This window comes from Homo sapiens, chromosome 10 (genome assembly GCF_000001405.40).
Source record: "Homo sapiens chromosome 10, GRCh38.p14 Primary Assembly".
Taxonomy (NCBI): Eukaryota; Metazoa; Chordata; class Mammalia; order Primates; family Hominidae; genus Homo; species Homo sapiens.
Window position 1 is genome coordinate 88,311,226 of NC_000010.11, and position 25,637 is coordinate 88,336,862.

General features: G+C 37.2%; 1 protein-coding gene and 1 long non-coding RNA gene across 15 annotated transcripts in view; one reads left to right on the plus strand and one right to left on the minus strand.

The window, feature by feature from the left end:
* LOC101929727 (uncharacterized) overlaps window positions 1-25,637 on the plus strand; it is a 248,010-nt gene that overhangs the window by 179,114 nt on the left and 43,259 nt on the right. The window lies entirely within an intron of this gene.
* Window positions 1-25,637, minus strand: part of RNLS (renalase, FAD dependent amine oxidase) — a 411,796-nt gene that overhangs the window by 139,703 nt on the left and 246,456 nt on the right. For 11 of the 14 annotated variants that reach the window (XR_001747122.3, XM_017016382.3, XM_011539924.4 and 8 more), the window contains one exon: window positions 3,241-3,416. The exons of 2 other annotated variants lie outside the window; for them this stretch is intronic. Coding sequence is in view for 11 of the 12 variants with exons in the window: in XM_017016382.3 (XP_016871871.1) it covers window positions 3,241-3,416 (176 nt within the window). In the remaining variant the exon portion in view is untranslated. Of the gene's footprint in view, window positions 1-1,858; window positions 3,151-3,240; window positions 3,417-25,637 lie in introns of those variants that run through there. One more of the 14 variants, XM_017016381.3, reaches the window with a different exon arrangement.

The following is a 25,637-nucleotide window of genomic DNA, read 5'->3' on the forward strand; positions in this document are numbered from 1 at the left end:
ACAGCATAAAATAATGGTCAGAGTATTACGGTTATCAAACTGATTAAATGTCCCCTGTCAAGGTACATGGAAAGACATTTTCAGTAATTCTGCTTCTAGTGAAAGAAAGAGTTAATATATCATACTTGTTACAGAAACCTTAATTCAATGCATAACAGACTAAGCATCAAGTTATATTAACTGGCTAAACATTTAAATTATGGAAGGCAAATAGCTGCAAAAGGGAGGAACTGAGAACCACAAAAAGTCTGCCATTGCTTTTCTGTTTGTTTGAACCACCTACTCAAGTGCTTTATTCAAATTAAAAATGGGATGCACAGAAACAGCTCCCAAGTCTTTCAAAAAACGCCTTCTTTCTTCACCTGCCTCTTTCCTCATTTAAGAGTAGCACCCACAAGAATGCACCATTAGCTTGCCCTAGACAAACTTCAATTTAGAGTCTTAGGAGAAGGCCGTCAGCAAATATTAGTCTCTAGGGTTTCCTGAGCAGAGTACTAGCCATATTGTAGGCATTCATTAAACGCTTATTGAATAAATGAGTTACCAAATGAAAAAATGAAAAAACATTTTTTACCCCACTGTTGCAATTGTGGATATGGATATGCGACATTAGGAACAGCACTAGGCTTGGGAGAGCAACACCAGGGAAATCAGAAACTGTCCCCACACAAAATACTCCTCTTATCTCTTGCAGATAGCAGGTGTTCCCTTAGGGAGGCTTGAGCCTTACATGGCTGATGCTCTCTCCAGAGGTTTTATGAGGAAGAAGGAAACAATGCCTCATCAAGGGGATCCATCAAGGGATTTGGGAGAAAGGAGGGTGTGGCAGGCAGAAGTAATGCCCCTACCACAGACATCCATGTCTTAATCCCTGGAACCTACAAATATGTTACGTCAATGGAAAGGAAGATTTTAGGTTGCAGATGGATTAAAATTATGAGTGAGCTGAAGCTGAGATGGGATAAGTATCTTGGACCACACAGGTGGGCCCAATGTCATCACAAGGGTGAGGCAGAAGAAAAGGTCAGAGTGGAAGAAGGATTTGACCTGCTGTTGCTGGCTTTGAAGATGGGAGGGGTCTCAAGCTGAGGAATGTGGGCAGCTTCTAGAAGATGACAAAGGCAAGAAAATGGATTCTCTCCTAGGGCCTCTAGAAAGAAATGCAGCCTGACCACACCTGGATTTTATTCCAGTGAGACCCATTTTCGACTCTGACCTCCAGGACTGTAAGATAATAAATTTGTGTTGTTTCCCACTACCAAGTTTTTGAGAATTTGTTACAACAACAATAGGAAATATAAGGTGGGTGAAGAGGATGGAAGGACTTGAGAGGCAGGTAGACTGGTTTTGTCATTATTAGCTGTGGGGATTGAAGGAAGTTATTTCATCTCTGTGAGGCTTCGTGTGCTCATCACTATAGAGAGTTAAAACTAACAAACTCATAAGACTGCTTTTAAAACATATATATTTAAAATAATCTATTTAGGGCTTATCTTTACCACTAGATACATTTTTAATTTGAATTTTTTCTATTTTTAAATTGACTTCACTTTTTTTTTTCAGAACAGTTTTAGGTTCATAGCAAAACTGAGAGGAAGTTATAGAGATTTCCAATATGCCCCCTACCCTCCCACATTTCTACCATAAATGACAATGTTATGTTCTGTAAAATGGTCCTCAAGTTACTGTGAGAAGTATATGAATAGTGGAATATGCAAACTTCTAAGTCTGGATGATAACTTACTCCCTTTCAGGTTTTGCAGCCAATGTAGACTTCATGACTTCAGAGTCGTAAATATAGTGAGATAATTTCAACATCCAAATTGTAACAAAATCATTGCTAGGGTTTGGAGGTACATTGTGTTCAAAGATTTTTATTAAATTTTGTGATATTGCACAACTTTGATTAGACCATTTTGTGGTTAGGACAAATCTATTTTTATTAACACATCAAATTTTAAGAAATAAGTAGATTTTAAATCCACTTTTTCAGTTTATTAATAAATTACGAGAAAGGCACAAGAGGAAACCTCATAAACGAATGTTTCTTTTAAAGAAGTATTTATAAATCACAAAGTGACTTGATGTGTAATATATCTAGCTTCAAAGTATATCAACAAGATTATTTCCCTGTTTTCTTTTTCAAGCCAACTTAAAATTGAGTTCAATATCACTTAAAGATAATAGCTATTTAGATTTTTCAATGCTTTTAAAAGGAAAAAGTAAAGTCTTCTAAAGTGACCATGACATGCTTAAGTAAATATTTTTCCCCAAAGATTCACTGTGTAATTTGACTTGAGAAGATATGAGTAAAACATAGACCTGCTACAATATTTTAGGAAATAATTTACTATTTCCTCTGATTTTGGAAAGCCCTTTAAAATATACAAAATCAACTGCAATTTCCCACAACACCACTTTTTCTACAGGCTTCACAGCTTGGATAACCAATAGGGCTGATAAATCAGTTCGTCAACAAGCTCAGAAATCCCAGGAAAAAAATGGACAACTCACTGCTTTTTCTCCTGTATCTGCCCTTTGCTTCGTTGTCCCCTAAATGACTTCACTACTGAGTTTACGGATCAAAAGACTTTTTCTATGAATACTCACTTCCATTGAAATATGCAGAAATTTTCAGAAAAAGTCAACATTTACTTAGTATAAGGAGCTTTAAGTTTGAACTAGTAGAGTGATCAGCAGGTTTAATTTAACCCTGAAAAACAGCTCAACTAGCTGTCCTATGCAGGTACTTATCTCTCTCCCCCAGAGAGCTCAGCTGGCAGCAGTCAAAACCAAAGTGGAAACTTAATAAAAATGAAAATTGTGGTAGCAAAATACACTTACAAGGTTAATTTGACATATTGCAAAATCTTGGGAAGTTATAGTGGTTTCTAAATATCCACAGTACTGATCTAGAAAAACCCCAAAGAAACAGCTGCATTTGGAGATATAACCTGCCTTATCTGAAGAGAAGACCTCGGAATATCAAGGTTTGTAAGTCTTGAGATGCTTGAATTTGAAGACAACATTGGTGGAAATTCTATGCACTTCTTGTTGAGAAACAGCAGGACCATAAAACCCATAGAAGTTATATTTATGTGTTGGGCAAACACATATTTGCTCCAAGGATCACATAGTTAATTTATTTCACTAGAGAGTGCAAAGGATAAAGAAGTAACATCAGTTCTGTGAGCCTGTTAAGAAAATTGTTGTGCTTAGACCACTGGATTCTTTGATTACCTGTGAATGTCTCCATTTTTGGCATTTGGTAGCAATTGGCTGAGGCAAACCCGGCAAAATGTTTTCCAGCTGCTGGAAGACTAACTCTTGCACATCCTCAATGCTGTGTTCCAAGTATGTAACTCCAAATGGGACAGTGGTGTGAATCACGAGGGAAGGCCCAATTTCTGATGACTCTGTGGCATAAGAGGATCATAAAGATGCATCTTAAAGTGGGTAGCAGGCAAGCATCTCTCAGGATTTCAATTCAGACTTAAGAACTGATCACAATAATCAAGCAATAAATGGAGGAAAAACTTATTCTAATCTCTAAAGCATAAATTAGGCATTTCTGAAATTCAAAATCAAACTTCTCTGAAGAGGAAGACAGATTAAAGAGAAGTTTTAGTGAAAAATTGTCAGATATTGCTAAAGAACTGGAAGAAAGGGTAGAAGTGCATTTAATATGAACTGCCTTGGATATAATTATATTTAGGTTTGTCTTCTCTCATTCACAAAATTGCTAGCTCTTCAGGGCAGGGTCCATTTTTTTTATACAGAGTCTATATTCTTCATAAATTCTGAGAACAAAGTATATATTCAATAAATACCTGTCTCATTCAATTAATGCTTAATGGGTTGAAATATATTTTGTTGAAATTACACAAATGTCAGAACAAAAAGAAACCAAGCTCCTCTCTGAAAACAGGCTTGTCCTCATAATATTCTTCTCTATGTTTTAATTACCATTTCTTTATGTTTTAATCAGCATTAAAAATAAAAGTCTGTCTCATTCAAAACATGAAACAACTTTCCATTTTTGTTTGCCATTGATTTTTTTGCTGTCTGTTCGTAATCACAAATAATGAATATCTGCTTTGTATCATTCACTCCTTAGTAGAATAAAGAGCAATCAAAGTCTGAGTTGAAAGAAACCTAAGTAACTGACTCTTTAGAAAGCACCATCTTGGAAGAATGTTAACAAGAATTTGTCTGCTATTATTTGTTTGAATCATGCAGAAGAGAAAGCTGAGGGGAAAACAATGATAGATGTGAAACATATGAATATAATATGAAAATTGGAACCTCCCCCTCCTGAGAGAAGAGAATATTAAAGTGTATAAGGCACTGATAGGAGATGTCAAACCTGATTCTGGAAATTCTTTAACTTGGGATTGTAAATGGTAATACAATGATCTATTTGAGTTACAGCAGTACAACTGACACAGGAAAGAAAGAGTTGACATAAGCCACTTACTCACTATGTGCCCGCTTAACCTCTTTACATTTCAGGTTTTTTTTTTTTTTTAATGAGAATAAGTTAGTAGCCACCACTTTTTTTTTTTAATGAGAATAAGTTAGTAGCCACCACATAGGTCTATGATGTGCATTAAATAACATAGTACACATGAAATACTCAGCACAGTTTCTGACACAGAATAGGTGCTTAATAAATCTAAGCTATGGGAATGGAAGCAATAAGCCAGAGACACGCGTAAAGCTTCCTCAGTGTTGCCTAAATTATAGGTGTGAGTCATGTTTTGTGAAAGTACTTCATTTTTCCTTTGCACTCAGCACAAGGAACCCTGGTTTATGAATTTTATGGCAAAACACAAGAGAAGAGAGTCCCAACATGCTGCAAACTTTTTAAAGTGAAGTGAATGCTTCCAAGGAGTTTCACATATACGAGGTGAGGGACCTGAATTCAGAATTTGTGCAGTAAATGCAATGGTAAGCTGGGCTGTACAGTATTTTCACCTCACAGTAGCTGGAACAACTTGAAAGAGGAAATAGAGGGGCCATCTCTTTGAATGTTCAATGTGTAACCTGTCAGTGAAGACTTTACAGGTTCTGTACAGAGGGAAGGACTCAGGAGTGGAAAATCTCAATTTCTTTCACAGAATACCACCACAGTGAGAAATCTATTGCATATTGCCTTAGGAAGTTTTATTTATGTTATCAGTTAATAAACTCAGGGAGGCTTGTTCACAGTGACGGGGTATCAATGCCACCCCTCTTCCATACAGTACCACATCTTCCCAGCAACAGAGAAAACTACTAGGTCAGCATTCTGAAGCAGGGAAGTTGGGGCTCTGAGTTGACTTATCTATGTCAGGCTTCAAAGGAAAATGAATGCTAGCTGCATGCTGAGAATTGGGAGGTTGCACTGACCCAGCTATTTGTTCCAGGGGAAACTCGTAAAGTCACTAAGACCAGTGATGGTGTGATGCCAGGTTTCTCCCATTTACATTAACCATCCACTCCACGGAGAGCAATAAAACATGAAATTTAAGACCTAAAGTGAAATAGTTCTCGCATAACAATGAGAGAACAACCTGCCTACTTATTTTTATTTGAATTGTACATTTATTTTGAAAATTTAGATGAAAATTTGAATAGCTATGACTGAAAACAGTAAGTTTTGGGGAAAAGCTCCCCCAACCCTAAATCAGAGTGTGTTTTCAGAAGCTAAAGTCTAAAAATACAAAGAGTCAAGCAGAATTTAAACGTGATCAAAGTTTGAAAATAGAGCAGTATAAAAAGCCACAAATATGTTAATAGGATCTAGAGCATAAATTCAGCATAATCATTATTCCTTGGTCACGGGGAAGTTAATGATGCTATTTTTCTTTTTCTTTTCTTTATTCAGTTTAACAAGAATATCACCTAGCTTTTGGCATTTTAAATGTAAAGCTCACAGTAAGTTGACAATTATTTCTCTACTTTGGGAAATCAATGGCTATAGAGTCAGAAGATAAGTATTTGAACCTCTGCATCCTTTAATAGCCCTGTAATCTTGGACAACTTAATCTCTCAGGCTTCACTTTTTTCCATCAATTAAAAGGGAGCAACACTACTGACCTTACAAGGCTGCCATGAGGATTAAATGAATTACTCACATAAAAGCCTTCCTTCAAACATAAAGTGCTACACAAACAGAAGGCATTCCTAGGTAATATTCTTGTTTCCACCTCTCCACTGTTGAAAGAGCAGCTTTAGAAAGGGATAACAGAATTGACTTCTCTCAAAGCATTAAGACTGATCATTACATCAACACCCCAGCGACAATGGAAGACTATTCCTGGGTATAGGCAGAGCAGGATTTGATTTTTTTGTGTGTGTTTCGTAAAATATACATAAAATTTACTGTTTTAACCTATTTTACATATACAGTTCAGTAGCATTGAGTATGTTCACTTTGTTCTATAACAGTCACCATCAAGCTGCTGGTTTTCAAGATGCCTGTCTAGTGACATCAGATGCCAGCTCTTTTCAGAAAGATCAAAGTTATCTGTGAATGGACAAGTTCCAAATGCAAAACTTACAGAAGAGATCCAGGACCTGACAGAGTGCCCAGGGGAAAAAGCTGAGATGCAGAAAAAAAAAGCAGCAAGGGTCTGGCAGAGATTGACCCCTGAGGAACTCAGAACCCTGTGCTAAGGGGTAGTGGGTGTGCTTCTCTGCTCCCTTCACCCCTGCAACAATTCACTGACTGTCAAACTGTTGGGGAGCCCCTCTGCCCTCTGGATCACGGGCAATGCTGTCAGTGGTGACTTGGGGGAATTTTCCAGGGGCAAAGAACCAGGTGGCCAGCTCATGTTAAGCATGCCTACACTCCCCTCAGACCTGAACTGACATGGCTGAACTGAGCCATGCTGGTTGTGCACCTGTGGTGGGACACTGCCCTGCCCAGGGAATCTCTGCCCTTGAGTCACCACACCACGAGATTCCCCACAAACATACCCCACAACCCATTCTGTCTCTGGCAAACATGGGGCTGTTGGGTCCCTGTGGAGCTGTGGGAGCCCTGGAGATCTCACCCTTGGTGGGCTGCCCTGAAGGCAATGGGGAGCACAGCCCACTAAAGTCTCCCTTGGGACAAAGGAAATGAAGGAAGTGGCACCAATCGGTGAAGGGGGTAGCACTGATGGCTAGGAAGGGTTGTGGAGAGGGAGTCATCCACCCCTTGCCACCTTTAGCCACTGTTGAGGATGCAGTAGTGGTTCTTCTGGCTGGGGGCTGGTATATGTGCACCTGGAGAAAGCACTTATCACACTTTTTGTAGTGAATCCACACTCGCTGAAAGTGAGCCCATGCTGCTTGGGCTTGCACAAAGGGCAGGGCCCAACTCCCTGACCCTACACAAAACAGCAGCATCCTGGCAATGGAGGACACAGACAAGCCACAGAGTTGTCTGCTCTGGACTGGGGGAAGGGGCTCTGCCCCAAGACCATCTTGGTGGTAGCTGCCAAAATGGTATATCAGTAGCCCATAGCCACATTGCAGCTGGGAACCAAAGGAAAAAGTCTTTATGAACTGAAGGCTGGGAGCCCTGTGACATGGTGTGATAGGGGAAGCAGCTGGCATTCCTGCCTGGTCAGGATGAGGAGCTGGTGCACTTCCCCAACTGCTCCTTCCCCAAAGACCTCAGCATGCTCCAACAAAATCTCCTCCCCTCTATATCAGGGCAGGTGCTTCCGCTCATCATCAATCTACCTGTGGGTGGGCCAGCTCTTACTCTTAAGTGCCACCTACTGGACTAGAGCTTGAACTCCACCACCAAATAAAACACCTGCTGCCAGAAGGGCTGAGTGCTAGTGTATGTGATGAGACTTCCATACCCTCAGCCAAGCAGTAGATAGAGTGTTAGCTCATATGTCAAATATATTGCTACAACAAGCAGCATCCGAGAAAGCCACCACACAAAAGCTACCCACAATGAAGGACCCATACAGCACCTTGGTCCTCTGAAAGCACCTGGAAAGGAGGCCAAATGATCATACACAACATACAACATACCCTCAAGATAAAAAAGAATTACAAAATGTAAAAGTCCTATCAAAAGGACAGAAAATTAAAAAATAAACGTGACAGATCCCTCATATGAGAAGGAATCAGTGCAAGAACTCTAGTAGCAAAAAAAAACCTAGAGTGGATTGACACCTCCAAAGTATTTCATTTGCTCTGTAGCAATAGGTCCTAACAAAAATGAAAAGTCTGAAATGGCAGACAAATAATTCAAAATATGGATTTTAAGGAAACTCAATGAGATCCAAGAGAAAGTTGAAATCCAATACAAAGAAACCAGAAAAACAATTCAGGCTATAAAAGATGAGACAGCTATGTCAAAAAAAGAAAAAAAACCCAAACAATTAGAACTTCTGGAATGAAAAAATTCATGGAAAGAATTTCAAAATACAGTTGGAAGCTTTAACAATAACCTAGACAAGCAGAAGAAAGAATTTCAGAGCTTGAAATGTGGTCTTTCAAATTAATCCAGTCAGACAAAAATAAAAAAGAATTTAGAAAAATGAAGAAAGCCTTTGAAAAATATGGGATTATGTAAAGTGAACAAACATACAACTGGTTGGTATTCCTGAGAGAGAAGAAGAAAAAGAAAGCAACCTGGAAAACATATTGGAGACAGTAATTCAGGAAAATCTTACTAACCTTGCTAGAATCATCAACATCCAGATATAAGAAATTTAGAAAACTCTCGCAAGATACTACAGAAGATGATAGTCACCAAGGCCTATAATTATCAGACTATCCAAGGTCAACATGAAAAAAAAATTCTCAAAGGGAGGCACCTGAAAAAAAGGGATAAATTACCCATAAAGGAAATACCATTAGACTAACAGTGGACTTCTCTGTAGAAGCCTTACAAGCAAGAAGAGATTGGGGGTATATTTTTAACTCTCTAAAGGAAAAAAAAAAAAAGTCAGCCAAGAATTTTATACCCTGCCAAACTACACCTCATAAATGAAGGACAAATAAAGTTTTCCCAGATGAGCAAATGCTAAGGGAACTCTTCTTTACCAGACCAGTCCTACAAGAAAAGCTCAAAGAAGTTCTAAACATGAAAACAAAAGAACAATGCTTGCTACCATAAAAGTACACATAAGGCCAAAGTACACGGATCCTATAAAGCAATTACACAATTGAGAATACAAAGTAACTAGCTAACAACACTATGGCAGGAACAAAACCTCACATATCAATATTAACCTTGAACATAACAGCATAAAAGCCCCACCTGAGAAACACAGATTGGCAAACTAGATTAAAAAAAACAAGACCCAACCATCTACTGTTTTCAAGAGACCAATGTCACACATTATGACAGCCACAGTCTCAAAACAACAGAATGGAGAAAGATCTATCACACAAATGGAAAACAAAAAAGAGTAAGGGTTGCTATTCCTGTGTGAGATAGAAGAGACTTTAAAACAAACACATTAAAAAAAAAAGACAAAGAAGGGTATTATATAATGATAAAGGGTTCAATTCAATCAGAAAATTCTACTATTTTAAATGTATGTTTACTCAACATCGGAGCACCAAGATTTAGAAAACAAATACTACTAGACCTAAAGAGAAGAGATAGACAGCCTTACAATAATAGTAGGGGGTTTCAACACCATGCTGACGGCACTAGATAGAACACTGAGGCAGAAAACAACAAAGAAAATCTGGACTTAAATTGGACTCTTGACCAAATGGACCCAGTAAACACCACAGAACACTGCATCCAACAACCACAGAATGTATGTTTTTCTCATCTGTGCACAGAACAGTCTCTAAAATTGACTATATGATTGGCCATATAGCAAATCTTAATACATTTAAAAACATCAAAATCATATCAAGCATCTTCTCAGACCACAGTGGAATAAAATCAGGAATCATACCAAGAGGAACTATCAAAAACCACATAAGAACATGGAAACCAAACAAACAACTTGCTGCTGAATGACTTTTGGGTAAACAAAAGAATTAAAGCACAAATCAAAATATGTTTTGAAACAAGTGAAAATAGAAACAAAATATCCAAATCCCTGGGATACAGCAAAAGCAGGGCTAAGAGGAAAGTTTATTCTGCTAAATGTTTACATCAAAAAGATAGAAAGATCTCAGATTAACAACCCAATGTCACATCTAAAAGAACTAGAAAAATGAGAACAAACCAAACCCAAAGATAGAAGAACAAAAGAATTAACAAAGATCAGAGCAGAATGACATAAAATTGTGACCAACAAAATATACTAAAGATCAACGAAATGAAAAGTTGGTTCTCTGAAAGGATGAACAACATTGATAGACCAGTAGCTACATTAACCAAGAAAAAGAATATTCAAATAAGCATAATCAAAAAATGACAAGGGTGACATTACAACTGATACTGCATAAATACAAAAGATTCTCAGAAGCTATTATGAATATCTCTATGCACACCACCTAGAAAACCTAGAGGAGATGGATAAATTCCTGGAAACACACAACTTCACAAGATTGAATCAAGATGAAATTAAAATGCTGAACAGACCAATAATGAGCTAGAAAATTGAATTAGTAACAAAAAATCTACAAACCAAAAAAGAAAAACAAAAATTCAGGACTAGACAGACTCATGGCCAAATTCTACCAGACTTACAAAGAAGCTGGTACCAATCTCAATGAAACGATTCCAAAACACTGAGGCGGAGGCATTCTTCCCCAACTCATTCTATGAAACCAGTATCATCCAAAATCTGGCAAGGACACAATCAAGGAAGAAAACTATAGGCCAATATCCCTGATGTACACAGACACAAACATTCTTAATGAAATGCTAGCAAATTGAATCTAGCTGCACATCAAAAAGATATTTCATCGTGATCAAGTGGGTTTTATTTCTGGTATGCCAGGATGGTTCAGCATACACAAATCAAGGTGATTCACCACATAAACAAAAACCATATTATTATCTCAATAAATGCAAAAAATGCATTCAATAAAATCCAACATCCTTTCACAATAAAAACCCTCCAACGAACTAGGCATCAAAGGAACTTAACTAAAAATAATAAGAGCCATACATGGCAAACCCACAGCCAACATCATACTGAATGGTGAAAAATTGAAAGCATTTCCCCGATATGGTTTGGGCTCTGTGTCCCCAACCAAATCTAATCTCAAATTGTAATCCCCATGTGTCGGGGGTTGGGGGTGATTAGGTCATGGGGGCAGTTTTCCCCATGCTGTTCTCATGACAGTGAGTTCTCACAAGATCTGATGGTATTTAAAGTGTTTGACGGTTCCTCCTTCACAGGTGCTCTCTCATGTGCTGCCATGTAAGAAGTGCCTGCTTCCCCTTCTGCCATGATTATAAGTTTCCTGGGGCCTTCCCAGCCATGCAGAACTGTTAGTCAATTAAACTTCTTTACTTTATAAATTATCTCTGGCAGTTCTTTATAGCAGTGTAAAAATGGACTAATACACTCCCTAGGAATGGGAGCAAGACAAGGATGTCTACTCTCATTTCTCCTATTCAACATATTACTGGAAGTCCTAGTCAGAGCAATTAGGTGTGAAGAAGATATAAAAGTAATACAAATAGGAAAAGAAGAAGTAGAATTATCTCTGCTAGCTGATGACATGATCCTATACCTAGAAAGCCTAATGACTGCTCCAAAGGACTCCTAGACCTGATAAATGACTTCAGTACAGTTTCAGGATACAAAAATAATGCACAAAAAAATCAGTTGCATTCCTATACACCAGCAACACTCAAGCTGAGAACCAAATCAAACACTCAATCCCACTTACATTTGCCACAAAAAATACTATATCTAAAAATGCATTTAACTAATAAGGTAAAAGATCTATACAAGGAGAACAACAGAATACTGATGAAAGAACACATAGATGACACAAACAAATTGGAAAACATCCCATGCTCATACAGAGGAAGAATCAAGATTGTTAAAATGATTATACTGCCCAAAGCAATCTACAGATTCAGTGAAGTTCCTACCAAATTACCTACATCATTTTTCACAGAATTAGAAAAAAACAATTCTAATTAGCCAAAGCAATCCTAAGCAAAGAGAACAAGGCTGGAGGCATCACATTACCCAAACTCAAAGTATACTACAAGGCTACAGTATCCAAAACAGCATGGTATTGGTACAAAAACAGACAAAGATCAATGGAACAGAATACGGAACACAGAAATAAATCCATATACCTACAACTAACTGATATTGACAAAGTCAATAAAAACAAACAATGAAGAAAGTACACCCTATTCAGTAAATTATGTGGGGGAAAACTGGCTAGGGATACGCAGTAGAATGAAACTGGAACACCACCTTTCACCACAGACAAAAATTAAGTCAAGATAGATTAAATACTTAAATGTAAGACCTGCAACTATAAAAATACTAGAAGAAAACCTAGGAAAAACTACTTTGGACGTTGGCATATTCAAAGAATATATGACTAAGACCTCAAGAGCAAATGTAACAAAAACAAAAACAGACAAATGGGATTTAATTAAACTAATTAACAGAGTAAATAGACAATTTACAGAATGGGAGACAATATCCACAAACTGTGCATCTGACAAAGGTCTAATATCCAGAATCTATAAGGAGCTTATACAAATCAACAAGAAAAACAAAACAAAACAACCCCATTAAAAAGTGGGGCAAGGTCATGAACAGATACTTCTCAAAAGAAGACATACAAGCAACCAACAAACATATGGATAAATGTTCAACATCACTAATCATCAGAGAAATGCAAATCAAAATCGCAATGAGTTACCATCTCACACCAGTCAGCATGGCTATTATTAAAAAGTCAAAAAACAATAGATGCTGGCAAGGCTGCAGAGAAAAGGAACGCTTATACACTGTTGGTGGGAACGTAAATTAGTTTAACCCCTACGGAAAACGGTATGGAGATTTCACAAGGAACTAAAAATAGAACTACCATTCTACTCAGCAATCCCACTACTGGGTATCTACCCAAAGGAAAAAAAAATCATTTTATCAAGAAGACACCTGCACACGTACGTTCACTGCAGCACTATTCATAATAGCAAAGTCAGGGAATCAAGCTAAGTGTCCATCAATTGTGAACTGGATAAAGAAAATGTGGTATACATACACCACAGAATACTATGCAGCCATAAAAAACGAAATTGTGTCCTTTGCAAAAAAAAAAAAAAAACTAAAACAGAAGATCAAATACCCCATATTTTCACTTATAAGTAAGAGCTAATCAATGGGTACACATGATATAAAGATGGAAAGAATGGGATATGCATTCTAGACACTGGGCACTCCAGAAAGGGTAAGGATGGGAGTGGGGAGAGAGTTGAAAAATTCCCTATTGGGTACTATGTTCAATATTTGGGTAATGGGTTTACTAGAAGCCCAAACGCCAGCATTACACAATATACGCATGTAACAAATCTGCACAGGTGCCACCTGAATTTATTTTTTAAAAGCCAACAATGACCACTATCCATCTCCTAAACTTTTTCATCTTCCTAAACTGAAACTCCATATCCCTTAAACAATAAGTAACTATTCTCCCTTCCCCAGCCCTGGCAACTACCATTCTATTTCTGTCTGTATTAATTTGACTACTCTAGGCACCTCGTATAAATGGAGTCATACAGTATTTGTCCTTTTGTAACTGGTTTATTTCACTTAGCATGATGTCCTCAAAGTTCATATATTTTGTAGTAGGTCAGGGTTTCCTTCCTTCTTAAGGCCAAATGATATTCCACCATATGTATATGTCACAATTTGCTTATCCATTCACCCTTCAATGGACGCTTGAGTTGCTTCTACCTTTTAGCTATTGTAAATGATGCTGCTATGAACATTGCTGTACAAATTCAGTTCAAGTCCCTGCTTTCACTTCTTTTGGGTAGATACTCAGAAGTGGAATTGCTGGATCATATGGGAAATCTATCTTTAATTTTTTGATAACCACATCATTTTCCATAGGCTGTACCATTTGCATTCCCACCAGAAATGCACAAGGGTTCCAATTTCTCCACATCCTCACCAATACTTATTTGCTGTTTGTTCTGTTTTTGTTTTTAATAATAGCCATCCTAATGAGTGTGAAATAGCCACAGCAGTTTTTAGTCTACAATTTTGAGTGAAGGTCAGGACACCGAATGTTGATAAAAACAGCAGCAACCCCAGCAGTAGCAGCAGCATTATAATCATCAGCTGCTAATAGAGCACTAAGATTTAGAAGGCTCAAGCATTAAATACTTACAATCAAAAGCTACAGAAGTTGCCGACTCTCCAAACAGAAATTAACATTTGTTTTGAAGTAAGCACTGTAGCTGCCTCAGATTCATGGTCATGACAGTTGTAACCATTAATAGGTTAAATGTACTTATTTAAAGAAAAAGATTGTCATAATGGGTCACATCCAACTACATGCTGCTTATCATAACACGCATTTTTAAAAATAAATTCTATCTCAATTGTGTTGGTCTCTCTATGATTGACATGGTTTGGCTGTGTCCTCACCCAAATCTCATCTTGAATTGTAATCCCTATAATCCTCATGTGTCTAGGGAGAGAACTGGTGTGAGGTGATTGGATCATAGGGTTGGTTTCCCTTCATGCTGTTCTTGTAATAGTGAGTGACTTCTCATGAGATCTGATGGTTTTGTAAGAGGTTCTCCCCACTTCGCTCCTCACTCTTTTCTCTGTCCTGCCGCCATGTGAGAAGGCCCAAGCTTGCTTCCTCTTTGCCTTCCGCCATGATTGTAAATTCCTTGAGGCCTCCCCAGCCATGCAAAACTGTAAGTCAATTAAACCTCTTTTCTTTATAAGTTACCCAGTCTTGGGTATGTCTTCATAGCTGTGTGAAAACAGACTAATACAGTAAATTGGTACCTCAGAGAGTGGGGTATTGATACAAAAATACCTGAAAATGTGGAAGAGAATTTGCAGTTGGGTAACAGGCAGAGGTTGGAACAGTTTAGAGGGCTCAGAAGAAGACAGGAAGATGTGGGGAAGTTTGGAACTTCCTAGAGACTTGTTGAATGGTTTTGACCAAAATTCTGATAGTGATACAGACAATAAAGTCCAGGATGAGGTGATCTCAGATGGAGATGAGGAACTTATTGGGAACTAGAGCGAAGGTCACTCTTGCCATGCTTTAGCAAAGAGACTAGTGGCATTTTGTCCCTGCCCTAGAGATGTGTGGAACTTTGAACTTGAGAGAGATGACTTAAGGCATCTGGTGGAAGAAATTTGTAAGCAGCAAAGTGTTCAAGATGTGGTCTGTGTGCTCTTAAAAGCATTCAGTTTTATGCATTCACAAATAGATGATTTGAAATTGGAACTTATGTTTAAAAGGGATACAGAGCATAAAAGTGGAAAATTTGCAGCCTGATGATGCGATAGAAAACAACCCATTTTCTGGGGAGAAACTCAAGCTAGCTGGAGCTGTGAGAAGAGGGCCACCATCTTCTAGATCCCAGAATGGTAGATCCAATGGCAGCTTGCACCATGCAGCTGGAAAAGCTGCAGACACTCAATGCCAGCCTGTGAAAGCAGCTGGGAGGAGGGCTGTATCTTGCAAAACCACAAGGGTAGAGCTGCCCAAGACTGTGTGAGTCCACCTCTTGCATCAGTGTGACCTGGATGTGAGACATGGAGTCAAAGGAGATCATTTCAGAGCTTTAAGATTGAATAGCTGCCCTGCTGGGTTTTAGACTTGCATGGGGACTGTAACCCCTTTATTTTGGCCAATTTCTCCCATTTGGAATGGGAGCATTTATCCAATGCCTATACCCCCATTGTATCTAGGAAGTAACTAACCTGCTTTTAATTTTACAGGCTCGTAGGTGGAAGGGACTTGCCTTTTCTCAGATGAAACTTTGGACTTGGACATTTGGGTTTATGCTGGAATGAGTTAGTTAGGACTTTGGCAGACTGTTGGAAAGGCATGATTGTGTTTTGAAATGTGAGGACATGAGATTTGGGAGGGGCCAGGGATGGAATGATATAATTTGGCTGTGTCTCCACCCAAATCTCATCTTGAATTGTAATCCCTATAATACCCATGTGTCTAGGAGAGACTGATGTGAGGTGATTGGATCATGGGGGTGGTTTCCCCTACACTGTTTTTGTGAAAGTGAGTGAGTTCTCATGAGATCTGATGGTTTTATAAGGGGCTCTTCCCCCTTCACTCCTCACTCTTCTCTCTCCTGCTGCCACATGAGAAAGGTCTAAGGTTGCTTCCCCTTTGCCTTCTGCCATGATTATAAGTTTCCTGAGGCCTCCCCAGCCATGCAGAACTGTGAGTCAATTAAACCTCTGTTCTTTATAAATTATCTAGTCTCAGGGAAGTTCATTATAGCAGAGTGAAAATAGACTAAGGCAATGCTACTTTAAGATTTGTTGATTGGCCTCATATATAGTCAGTTCTTATAAGTGTTTTATGTGTACTTGAATAGAATTTTCTAGGTATTGAATTGACATTTTGTATGTATGTATGTATGTACGTATGTATGTATTTTTGTATTTTAGTAGAGACGGAGTTTCACCATGTTGCCCAGGCTGGTCTCAAACTCCTGAGCTCAGGCAATCTGCCCGCCTCGGCCTCCCAAAGTGCTAGGATTATAGGCGTGAGCCACTGCGCCCAGCCAATTTATTTATTTATTTTTAATTTGAGATAGAGTCTTGCTCTGTCACCCAGGCTAGAGTGCAGTGGCACAATCTTGGCTCACTGCAACCTCTGCCTCCCAGGTTCAAGTGATTCTTGTGCCTCGCATCCTGAGTGGCTGAGACTACAGGCGTGCACCACCATACCCAGCTAATTTTTGTATTTTTAGTAGAGACAGGGTTTCGCCATGTTGGCCAGGCTGGTCTCAAATTCCTGGCCTCATGTGATCTGCCCAGTTCAGCCTCCCAAAGTGCTGGGATTATAGGCAGAAGCCACCGTGCCTGGCCTGAATTAACATTTTACAAAAGTTAATTAGAACAATCTCATTGATTGTATAGTTCTCATGAATTGCATTATGATTTTTTTTGTCCACTTCAGTTATTGAAAGAAGTATCTCTCCTGATGATGGTAAATTTGCCAATTTCTGCTTTCAGTCTTGACAATTTTTGCTTTATATCTAAGTTAGGTTAATAGTTTCCTGATGTTTGAATATTTTAACAATACATTGTGAACCTCTTTACAACTAGATGTGCTTTTTAAGGGGTATTTTTTCTTTGTATTTGTCCCACTTATTCAGCATGCATGTTTGCACGTTTCTTTTTTAAATTCAAAAAAGTCTTCTTTTTGATTAAACCATGTTTACATTTTATTCCATTTTCCCCTTCTACTATCTTGGAAATTATATAGTTATATTTTTAGCGAATACTGATATATTTAAGCATACATATTAAATTAAAATTGAAAGTGAACAAATACCTTTATCCTTCTCCTAAATAATACTAGAGCCTTAGATTACTAACTCTAAGTTTATATGCTTTTATTGTTCAGGATTATTTTATTTCTTTGGTTCTATCTTATACAGTTAATGTTTGTTTTTATTCATGAAAAGCGTCTTTCTTGGATCTCAGATTCTCCCTCTAGGCTCATTTTCCTCTTCCAAAAGTATTCTGTGAAGTTCTTAAAATGAACTTCTAATGGAGATAGAACTCTCTCAGATTTTGCTTTCCTTAAAATGTCTTTATTTTATCTGCATTTGTGAAATATAATTTTTCTTGGTATATAATAATAAATTGAAAATATTTTTCTCAAGACTTTAAAGATATGATACCAATGTAGTTTAGCTTCTTTTGAGACTGTTAGGAAGTCAAGTGTTTTTTGTTTTTCTTTTTTTTTTTTTGCTCTCTCACCCAGGTTTGAAGTACAGTGGTGCAATCATAGCTCACTACAGCCTTGAACTCTCAGACTCAAGCAATCCTCCTGCCTCAGCTTCCCAGGTAGCTAAGACCACCACACCCAGCTAGTTTTTTATTTTTTATAGAGACAGGGTCTTGCTATGTTGCCCAGGTGGTCTTGAACTCCTGGCCTCAAACGATCCTCCTGCCTTAGCTTCCCAAAGTGCTGGGATGTAAGTGTGAGCCACCATGTCCAGCCTGAGAGGTCTTTCTTAATTTGGCTGTAGGTCCTTTGCAGTTAATTTTTCTTTTATATCTAGCTGCTTTTATGGTTTTTTCTTTGTCTTTGATGTTGTGCAGTTTTATTCAGTTATTTTAAGATTTGAGGTTTTTTTTGGTTTACCTTTGTTGACTTCATTGGGATTTCTGAATCTGAAGACTTAATTTTGTAATTAATTTTGGAAATTGTTCAGCTATTAGTTCTCCCAATATTTCCTTATTCCCATTCTCTCTAACCTCTTTTCATGAAATTCTAATTAGGGATATACTAGATATTCTCATTCTATCTTCACATATTTTGATCTATTTTCAGTATTTTCTATCTCTATCTCTCCATGCTAAATTCTGTGTAATTTTTTGTGATTTATCTTTTAGTTCACCATTCTCCTTACATCTGTGGTTTTTTTGATGTTCAATTTGTCCTTTGAGTTTCAAATTTAAATTATTTTATTTTTCATTTGTAAACGTTCTATTTGGCTCTTTTTCAAATCTGCATGATCAATTTTGATAGTCTCTTTCTCCCTAGTCATACTGTCAGTACTCTTATTTCTTCCAACATATTCAACATAGTTATTCTATATTGTGTGTCTGGTTATTCCAAAATTTTCAGGCTTTATAAGGTTGGCTCTGGCTTTTTTTGTTGTTGTTCTTGTTGGACGACTATTGCTCATAATTGCATGGTTTTCTGTCTGTTTTGAGATATATATATATATATATATAAATATAAATATATATACACACACTATATATATACACACACACACAATTTTATATTATCTCTCTCTATATATATTTCTTTATATATGTTTATTTATAATACATATATATTTCTATTGTGAGCTCATGCTCCTAGGAACTTTATCTGAAAGATTCTTTGTGCCTGCATTTAAATAATGTTCCTTTGGAAACGTGCTTTGGTTTCTGCCAGAGGCCTTAGGGCAATATTGCCCATGACCACTTTAACTAGATTTATACAATATGCTGGCAGAATGAATTCTGGCACCAAATCTGCTTAAGGGTGGGTTTGTGGTTTGGCATCTCAGTAAGACATTTTGTTAAGTAACTTCCTCAAAATGAGATAGAATATCTCTCTTAAGCTGATGGTTTATAGCATATCTTATAATTAAATAATATAGGCTTTTTAAATAAAATCAGAAACTAAAATTCTTAGTAACACCAATAGTATTTAACATTGCTCTGGTTGGTACAATAAGATAAAAAATGGAAAAAAGATGTATAATTATTAGAAAGAAGGAAAACATGGTTGAAAACAGTAGTGAATCCAATAAACTTGATCAAGTTGAAATATTTTTACATAAAATTGATTTCCTTATATATCAGTGATAACTAGTAAGAAAAATGATTTTTAATTAATTATGCAACATCCTTTACAATTTGACAAAATGACGCTAAAGGTAAAATACAATAATAATATTTAAAATTTTTTGTAAAGAAATTCAATGAGTAGAGACTTGCTTTGTCATATATTTAAATACATTATAAAGCTACAGTAATTAAAATAGGCTGGTACTATTTAATAATAATGATGAACCAGAATAGTTATCTCTGAAAAAAATCCTAAACCATATTAAGTATTATAACAGAAACTTAACAAAGCACTGGGGAACAAATGCATTTTAATATTGGCTAGAAAATTGGATATAAGGAAAAAATTAACTTAGGTATTCTTTTTCCACTTCTGAGACACATTTCTCACCCATTTCTAATTTTCTACTTCTGTAGCCATATGAAGAATGTACCTTCTTAGGTATACAGCATCTCTGCTCCTAGGTTTGCTCTCACAACTTTATATTAAAAGTTCAAACTCCCTGGGACACCCTTATTCACATGCAAACACATCAGAGACTTTTTCCATCTGAAAAATTAAATTTTTGGCAGTGTGTATCAAGGGTCAGAGGTTGCGTTCCCAAAGGCCAGCTCTAAATTATATCTCTGACAGGGAAATAGAGGACTAAAGAAATTTAAGGAGTGGAAGACTTTAATGTTAGAGACCAAGACCAAAAAGAAATGGGTGAAATATTTCTTCAATTATTGATTCAGTCAAATGAGCATCCTGGTGTCTGGCATTTGTTGCCATGAGACACAGTATTAAGGTCTTTCAAGAGTTTACATCTTACTGGGGGAAATGAAACACATGCAAAGTAATAACAGAATCATTATCCACTAAACGGTATACTATTGATGTGTGTGCAAATGAACGTTCTAAGTAAAGGGGAGGACTTAGTTCAGAAAACAGATTCACATGAGGAGAGAAGTTGGACAAGGAGCTGGGGGCCACACTGTTTTAGGGGTGGTGGTCTGCTCTCCTTTCTCATGGCGGTGGAGGTTGATGATACGTTTGCCCTTCTCCAGTCCATTTGGAACTGGCTGGCTCAACTGCCCTCTAGCCACGAGAGTTACTACAATTTAGCTCTTTTATATGGCTCCCAGGCTCAGCAGCACCTGTAATGAAGAGCAAGCCAATCATATCAGTAAGTCCAACAAAAAAAATCTAACTTTCCCTGGATGATAAAAGATAGCCAGGGAGAGAGAGGGGAGAAAGATGGGAAAGGGAGGCTGAGAGAGAAGTAAACATGCTCCTGATGTCTCTCTCTCCTCTTTCTTGCCTTGCTAGCAGAACCAAGCCAAAGGAGCACAAAGTACTCTCTGCCTTTTGGCATTCTACCTCCTTGGCTGCGTGTCTACTGCTGGTCCCAGGTCAAGAACTAGGCCTCACTATTCAGAGGGACCACCTGCAGATTTTACTTGCTTTTTAAAAATCTCAGATCTAGTTCTTATATATAGGTTACAGCAGCCAAAATTCAGCTATGATAACACTCCTCACCAAATATGTCCTGGGCAACTTTGTTACCTCCAACTTTATCTACGGCAGGGACTTTTGTAGTATTTATAATCATTCAACACAATTTTACAGTTTTAATTGAAGAGTAAAGTTCTGGAAGTAAATACTTCTGAAATGATGGCATGGGCCATGCGGAGAAAAGATGGTTTTACTCACAGTCCTTCCCTTTACATATTTCACTCTTATACTGTCATCTTTGAGGAAAAGTACTTGTTTTACTTTCTTCCATATTATGTCCCTGGAGGTAGGGGGCTATATTAATTGATAAAAGCAGTTGTTTACATATCTAGTTAAAACCGTTGAAGAGGTTTGAATTAACAGCCTCATTTGGGAGACTTAAGGATTATAAGATCTAAAGAAGTGATAGGAGAAGGTAATTGGCCTGGAAAAGATTCAGAAAGATAAATGAATGTGGAAATTGTATTCTTGTCAGCAGACACCAAAATTGCCTGACAAACCCTTACTTCCCTTTTTACAGGTTAACTATCTATTTTAAAAGGGGGAAATGATAGAGGTGAAATGACACCCTTCTAAATGTCAGGAAATATAATTCAAGTAAAAAAGTGTGTGGTTTTTTTCTCCTCTTCCTGCTGAGGGTTATACCTACCTCTTCCTAGGAAACTATGATGTACCATTTAAGATTTATAGAAAATTCTGGAGTAATGTTTTTACCCCTAAGAAACAAGATATGATTCATTTAGCATAAGCAACTCAGGTCTCTTTCTCCATCCTGATTGTACACTTTTGAGGAATATCAATTGAGCTTCAGATCTTGAGTCTGAAATTCTGTCTCCCTACTCCCTGCCTGTATGACTTTAGGCTGCTTGTTGTTTTGTAATTTCTTAAGTCAGTGCCTCCCACAGGAACCATGACATATTAATAGTTATTAGGCAAAACAACAACAAAATTCTTTGGACGAATATATTTTTGAAATGCCTGGCTTAAATAAAATTAAGTGGAACTTCTCGGTCCCTGATATGGTTATGTACAGTGTAAATCTTTAATGGAAAGATATTATTAAATTATTTTTGGTGTTTTAAAACTACTTTTATCTGAATTACAAAACTTTTTAAAAAGTTATTCAAACATGATGAAAGTGTATAAAGTGAAAAAATAAAAGTACTGCTTTGGTATCAGAACTGGCAGCCCCATTCTCCAGGGTAACTACTGTCAGTGGTTTCTTAATACCCTTCCTGAAATTTTCTACAAATGAGCCCGCATATTTACTTCCCGTTTAATAACGGAAACACAATCTTACCATAGCTATCATTTATATCTTGCTTTTGTTAAAGCAACATATCTTGGACAGATTTCTAGCAGTTCATGGGGACCTACCTAATTTAATAACATGAATTGCCATGGTTTACTAGTCTTTCAGAGCTGGGAATTTCATTTTTTTTCCAGTTTGTTGCTGTTAGAAACAATGCTGCAACAAACACATTTATTCTGTTATGGTCTGAAGGTTTGTGTCTCCCCAAAACTCGTATGTGAAATCTAATTTCCAATGTGTTCGTATTTAGAGGTGGGGCCGTTAGGAGGTGATTTGGTCATGAGGGCTACGACTTCTTGAATGGGACTAGTGACCTTACAAAAGAGGCTTGAGGGAACTTGTTTCCCCCTTCCACTGTGTGAGGATGCAGCAAGAAGTCGCCACCTCTGAAGGAGAGAGTGAACCCTCACCAGATGTCAAATCTACCAGTATCTTGATCTTGAATTTCCCAGTCTCCAGAGCTGTGAGCAATAAATTTATACTGCTTAGAAACTACCCTGTCTAAGGTATTTTGTTATAGGAGCACAAACTAATTGACTAAGACAATTCACATACCTTTGTTGAACTTCTGTGAGACTATCTCCAGGATAAATTCCTAGTAATAGAACTGCTGAGTCAAAGGGTAAGCATATTTAAAATTATTTCTGATATAGCTAAATGGCCCTTCAAAATCACAATCCCCCCAATAGTAAATGAGAGCTCTTATTTCTCCACATTCTTAACACTGGGTAATGTTTGCTAATCTGTTAGTTTAAAACATATCTTATTTTATTTTTAGTTTTCAGTTAGTTATGTATGAGTGTGGCATTTTTGCATACAAATCCAATTTGTAAACTCTTTCCCAAAGATCTGACTTTTTCTTGCCCCACTAGAAACAACAATGCCAACCTCAGGATTACTGTACAGATTCAATCCATGTAAAGTGAGAAGTTCAGGGTTTGGCACACAATAAGTGCTCATCAAATGCTATTTGAAAAACCAACCTATCAAGCCTGACTCACTTCATTTGAAAGGATTAGAGTTACTGAGGTTTTATTGTACCTCACTTCATCAATGGGAAATGCAGATTTCAGAAAACAATGTAGATGGGAGGAAAGTGCTCTCCACACTTACAGTATTTATCACATTGTATTTTCATTGTCTATTTGTCTGTCTCCCCTCTAGATTGAGGGGTACCTGAATTTATGGATATTGTCTTATTTTACATTTCTTTTTTTTCCCTTGAAATCATGATTTTATTGAGTTGAAGGCATTTCAACCACAGGTGATTAGTATCATCTGAATCTACCCACAGCTCAATCAAGTCTAAGGCTAAAAACATTCAATCTCTTAAAAAAAAATGAGCAAGCAATTTTTCCTCTGTAGTTCAAGTTCATTGAGTTGATAACTCTTGTCCCAGAAGGAAAAAACTGCTATCTTATAAGCCACAAACTAAACATATGTAGTTAATTAACAAATTAATTAACGTGAGATACCAACTCAGTCAAAATTTCAACAACTTACATTAAAATAAGCAAAGTCTTTCCAGTCATCTTCAAATTCTTCCTAAAATTTATTTTAAAAAGTGAAACTATCAAAATATCTATTTATTTATACTTTCATCACATTTAGCAGTGAATTTGATTTATAAACTTTAAGCATAAGCTTCCATAATAAAGAATACATTGTATACTGGTACATTGACTTTTTGATTTGAGCTTTCTTTTCTTTTACTTTTTTTTTTTTTTCTTTGCGACAATGTCTTGCTCTATTACCCAGGCTGGAGTGCAGTGGCTCAATTTTGGCTCACTGCAACCTCCACCTCCTGGGCTCAAGCAATCCTCCCACCTCAGCCTCTCAAGTAGCTGGGACTGCCAGGTGTGTGCCACCATGCCTGGCTAATTATTTTATTTTTTATAGAGATGGGGGTCTTGCTCTGTTGCCCAGGCTGGTCTCAAACTCCTAAACTCAAGGGATTCACCCACTTTAGCCTCTCAAAGTTTTGGGATTACAGGTGTGAGCCACCACACCCAGCCCCTCTTTTACATTTCAGATGGCCCATGTGAATTGTTTCTAAATGTAGGCCAAAAATTTTATAATCCTCACTTAATGGTGGCTAAGAGCTGCCTCATTAGCTATATTAGTTCATTAGACAAAGACACATTTATTAAAAATAAGAAGCAGGTGGAATGTAGTGGTAACGCAGATTTAATTTGTTCAAAATAACTACATTGTGGGTTTGGAAGTATAAGAGAGGTTGCTCTGTGATCCTTTCCTGCCAAACAAAGCCTCACTATGGGTTGATTTTTAGCAATAAATATAAAGAGACTTGAAAATGTCAGTTTTGTATAAAGCTAGGATGATTGTTATTCAGTGTTTTATTCTTTTACTATTAAATTTTAGAAATGCAATTTTACATTTCTAATAGTAACTACTTTGGGGTTTGGCAATTGGTAAGCAATGAATAATTGTTGAATACTTGGATGAAGAGATGAATGAATGAGGTATCAGTTCTGTTCTCAGGACCTAAGAAGTATGGATAGATAAAGCAAGATTTTTCTCCATCTACTGAATGAACACGGCAGGGTCAGCAGTACTGGACAAAGCTATGACACATTTAGAATCTGACAGCATTGAATGCACACAGCAGAGCAATTACAGCTCTAGTTCCATAGGCAACCCTAAGAAACTTTTCTATCATTGAGGTGGAAATACTAGCTTTTAAAAAACCGACACACCTATTAGCTTCTTTTCTTCTTTAGGTCTTTGACTTGTTTATTCTAGGCCTGTGGGTACTAATAGATCTGTGGATGTATGCATTTGCCATTTTAAATAAAGGCTAGGAAGGGAAGTTTTAAAACTAATACGCATGTATGTTTGTAATCGTTGTTATTCAAGGCTACATAAGTTTGGATTTCTTATGTTTAAACAAGACACACAGACATCCTCTAAACAACTCCACATAAGATAACCATTCTGATAGGCATTTAGTTAAATATAAACAAGTGTGTAAAACCCCACACGATGAATTGAAAATAAAATGAGAACTCCCCTAAAGTTCCTACTTCCAGTTTCAGAAGATGTTTCTCCATAGCTACAACATAAGTAAATGTATACAAGTTTAGGAAATAATCTTCCAGTAAACAATGAAAAATTGTTCACACAAGAGTGTGTTCTGTCTTCGTCAGCTGAGAAAGTAAATGATAGCATTCACCAGCAATATAAACTACCTGAATAATAAACAAAATGTTATCTATTTTAGCAATACTTTCGGGTGCTGGATAGAGGCTATGGGACAGGGTAGGAAGGCAAGAGCTGGGGCTGGGTTGGGCAACTAGGGATAATTTCCTACTGATTGTAGTTGCATTCTAAAGCCCTG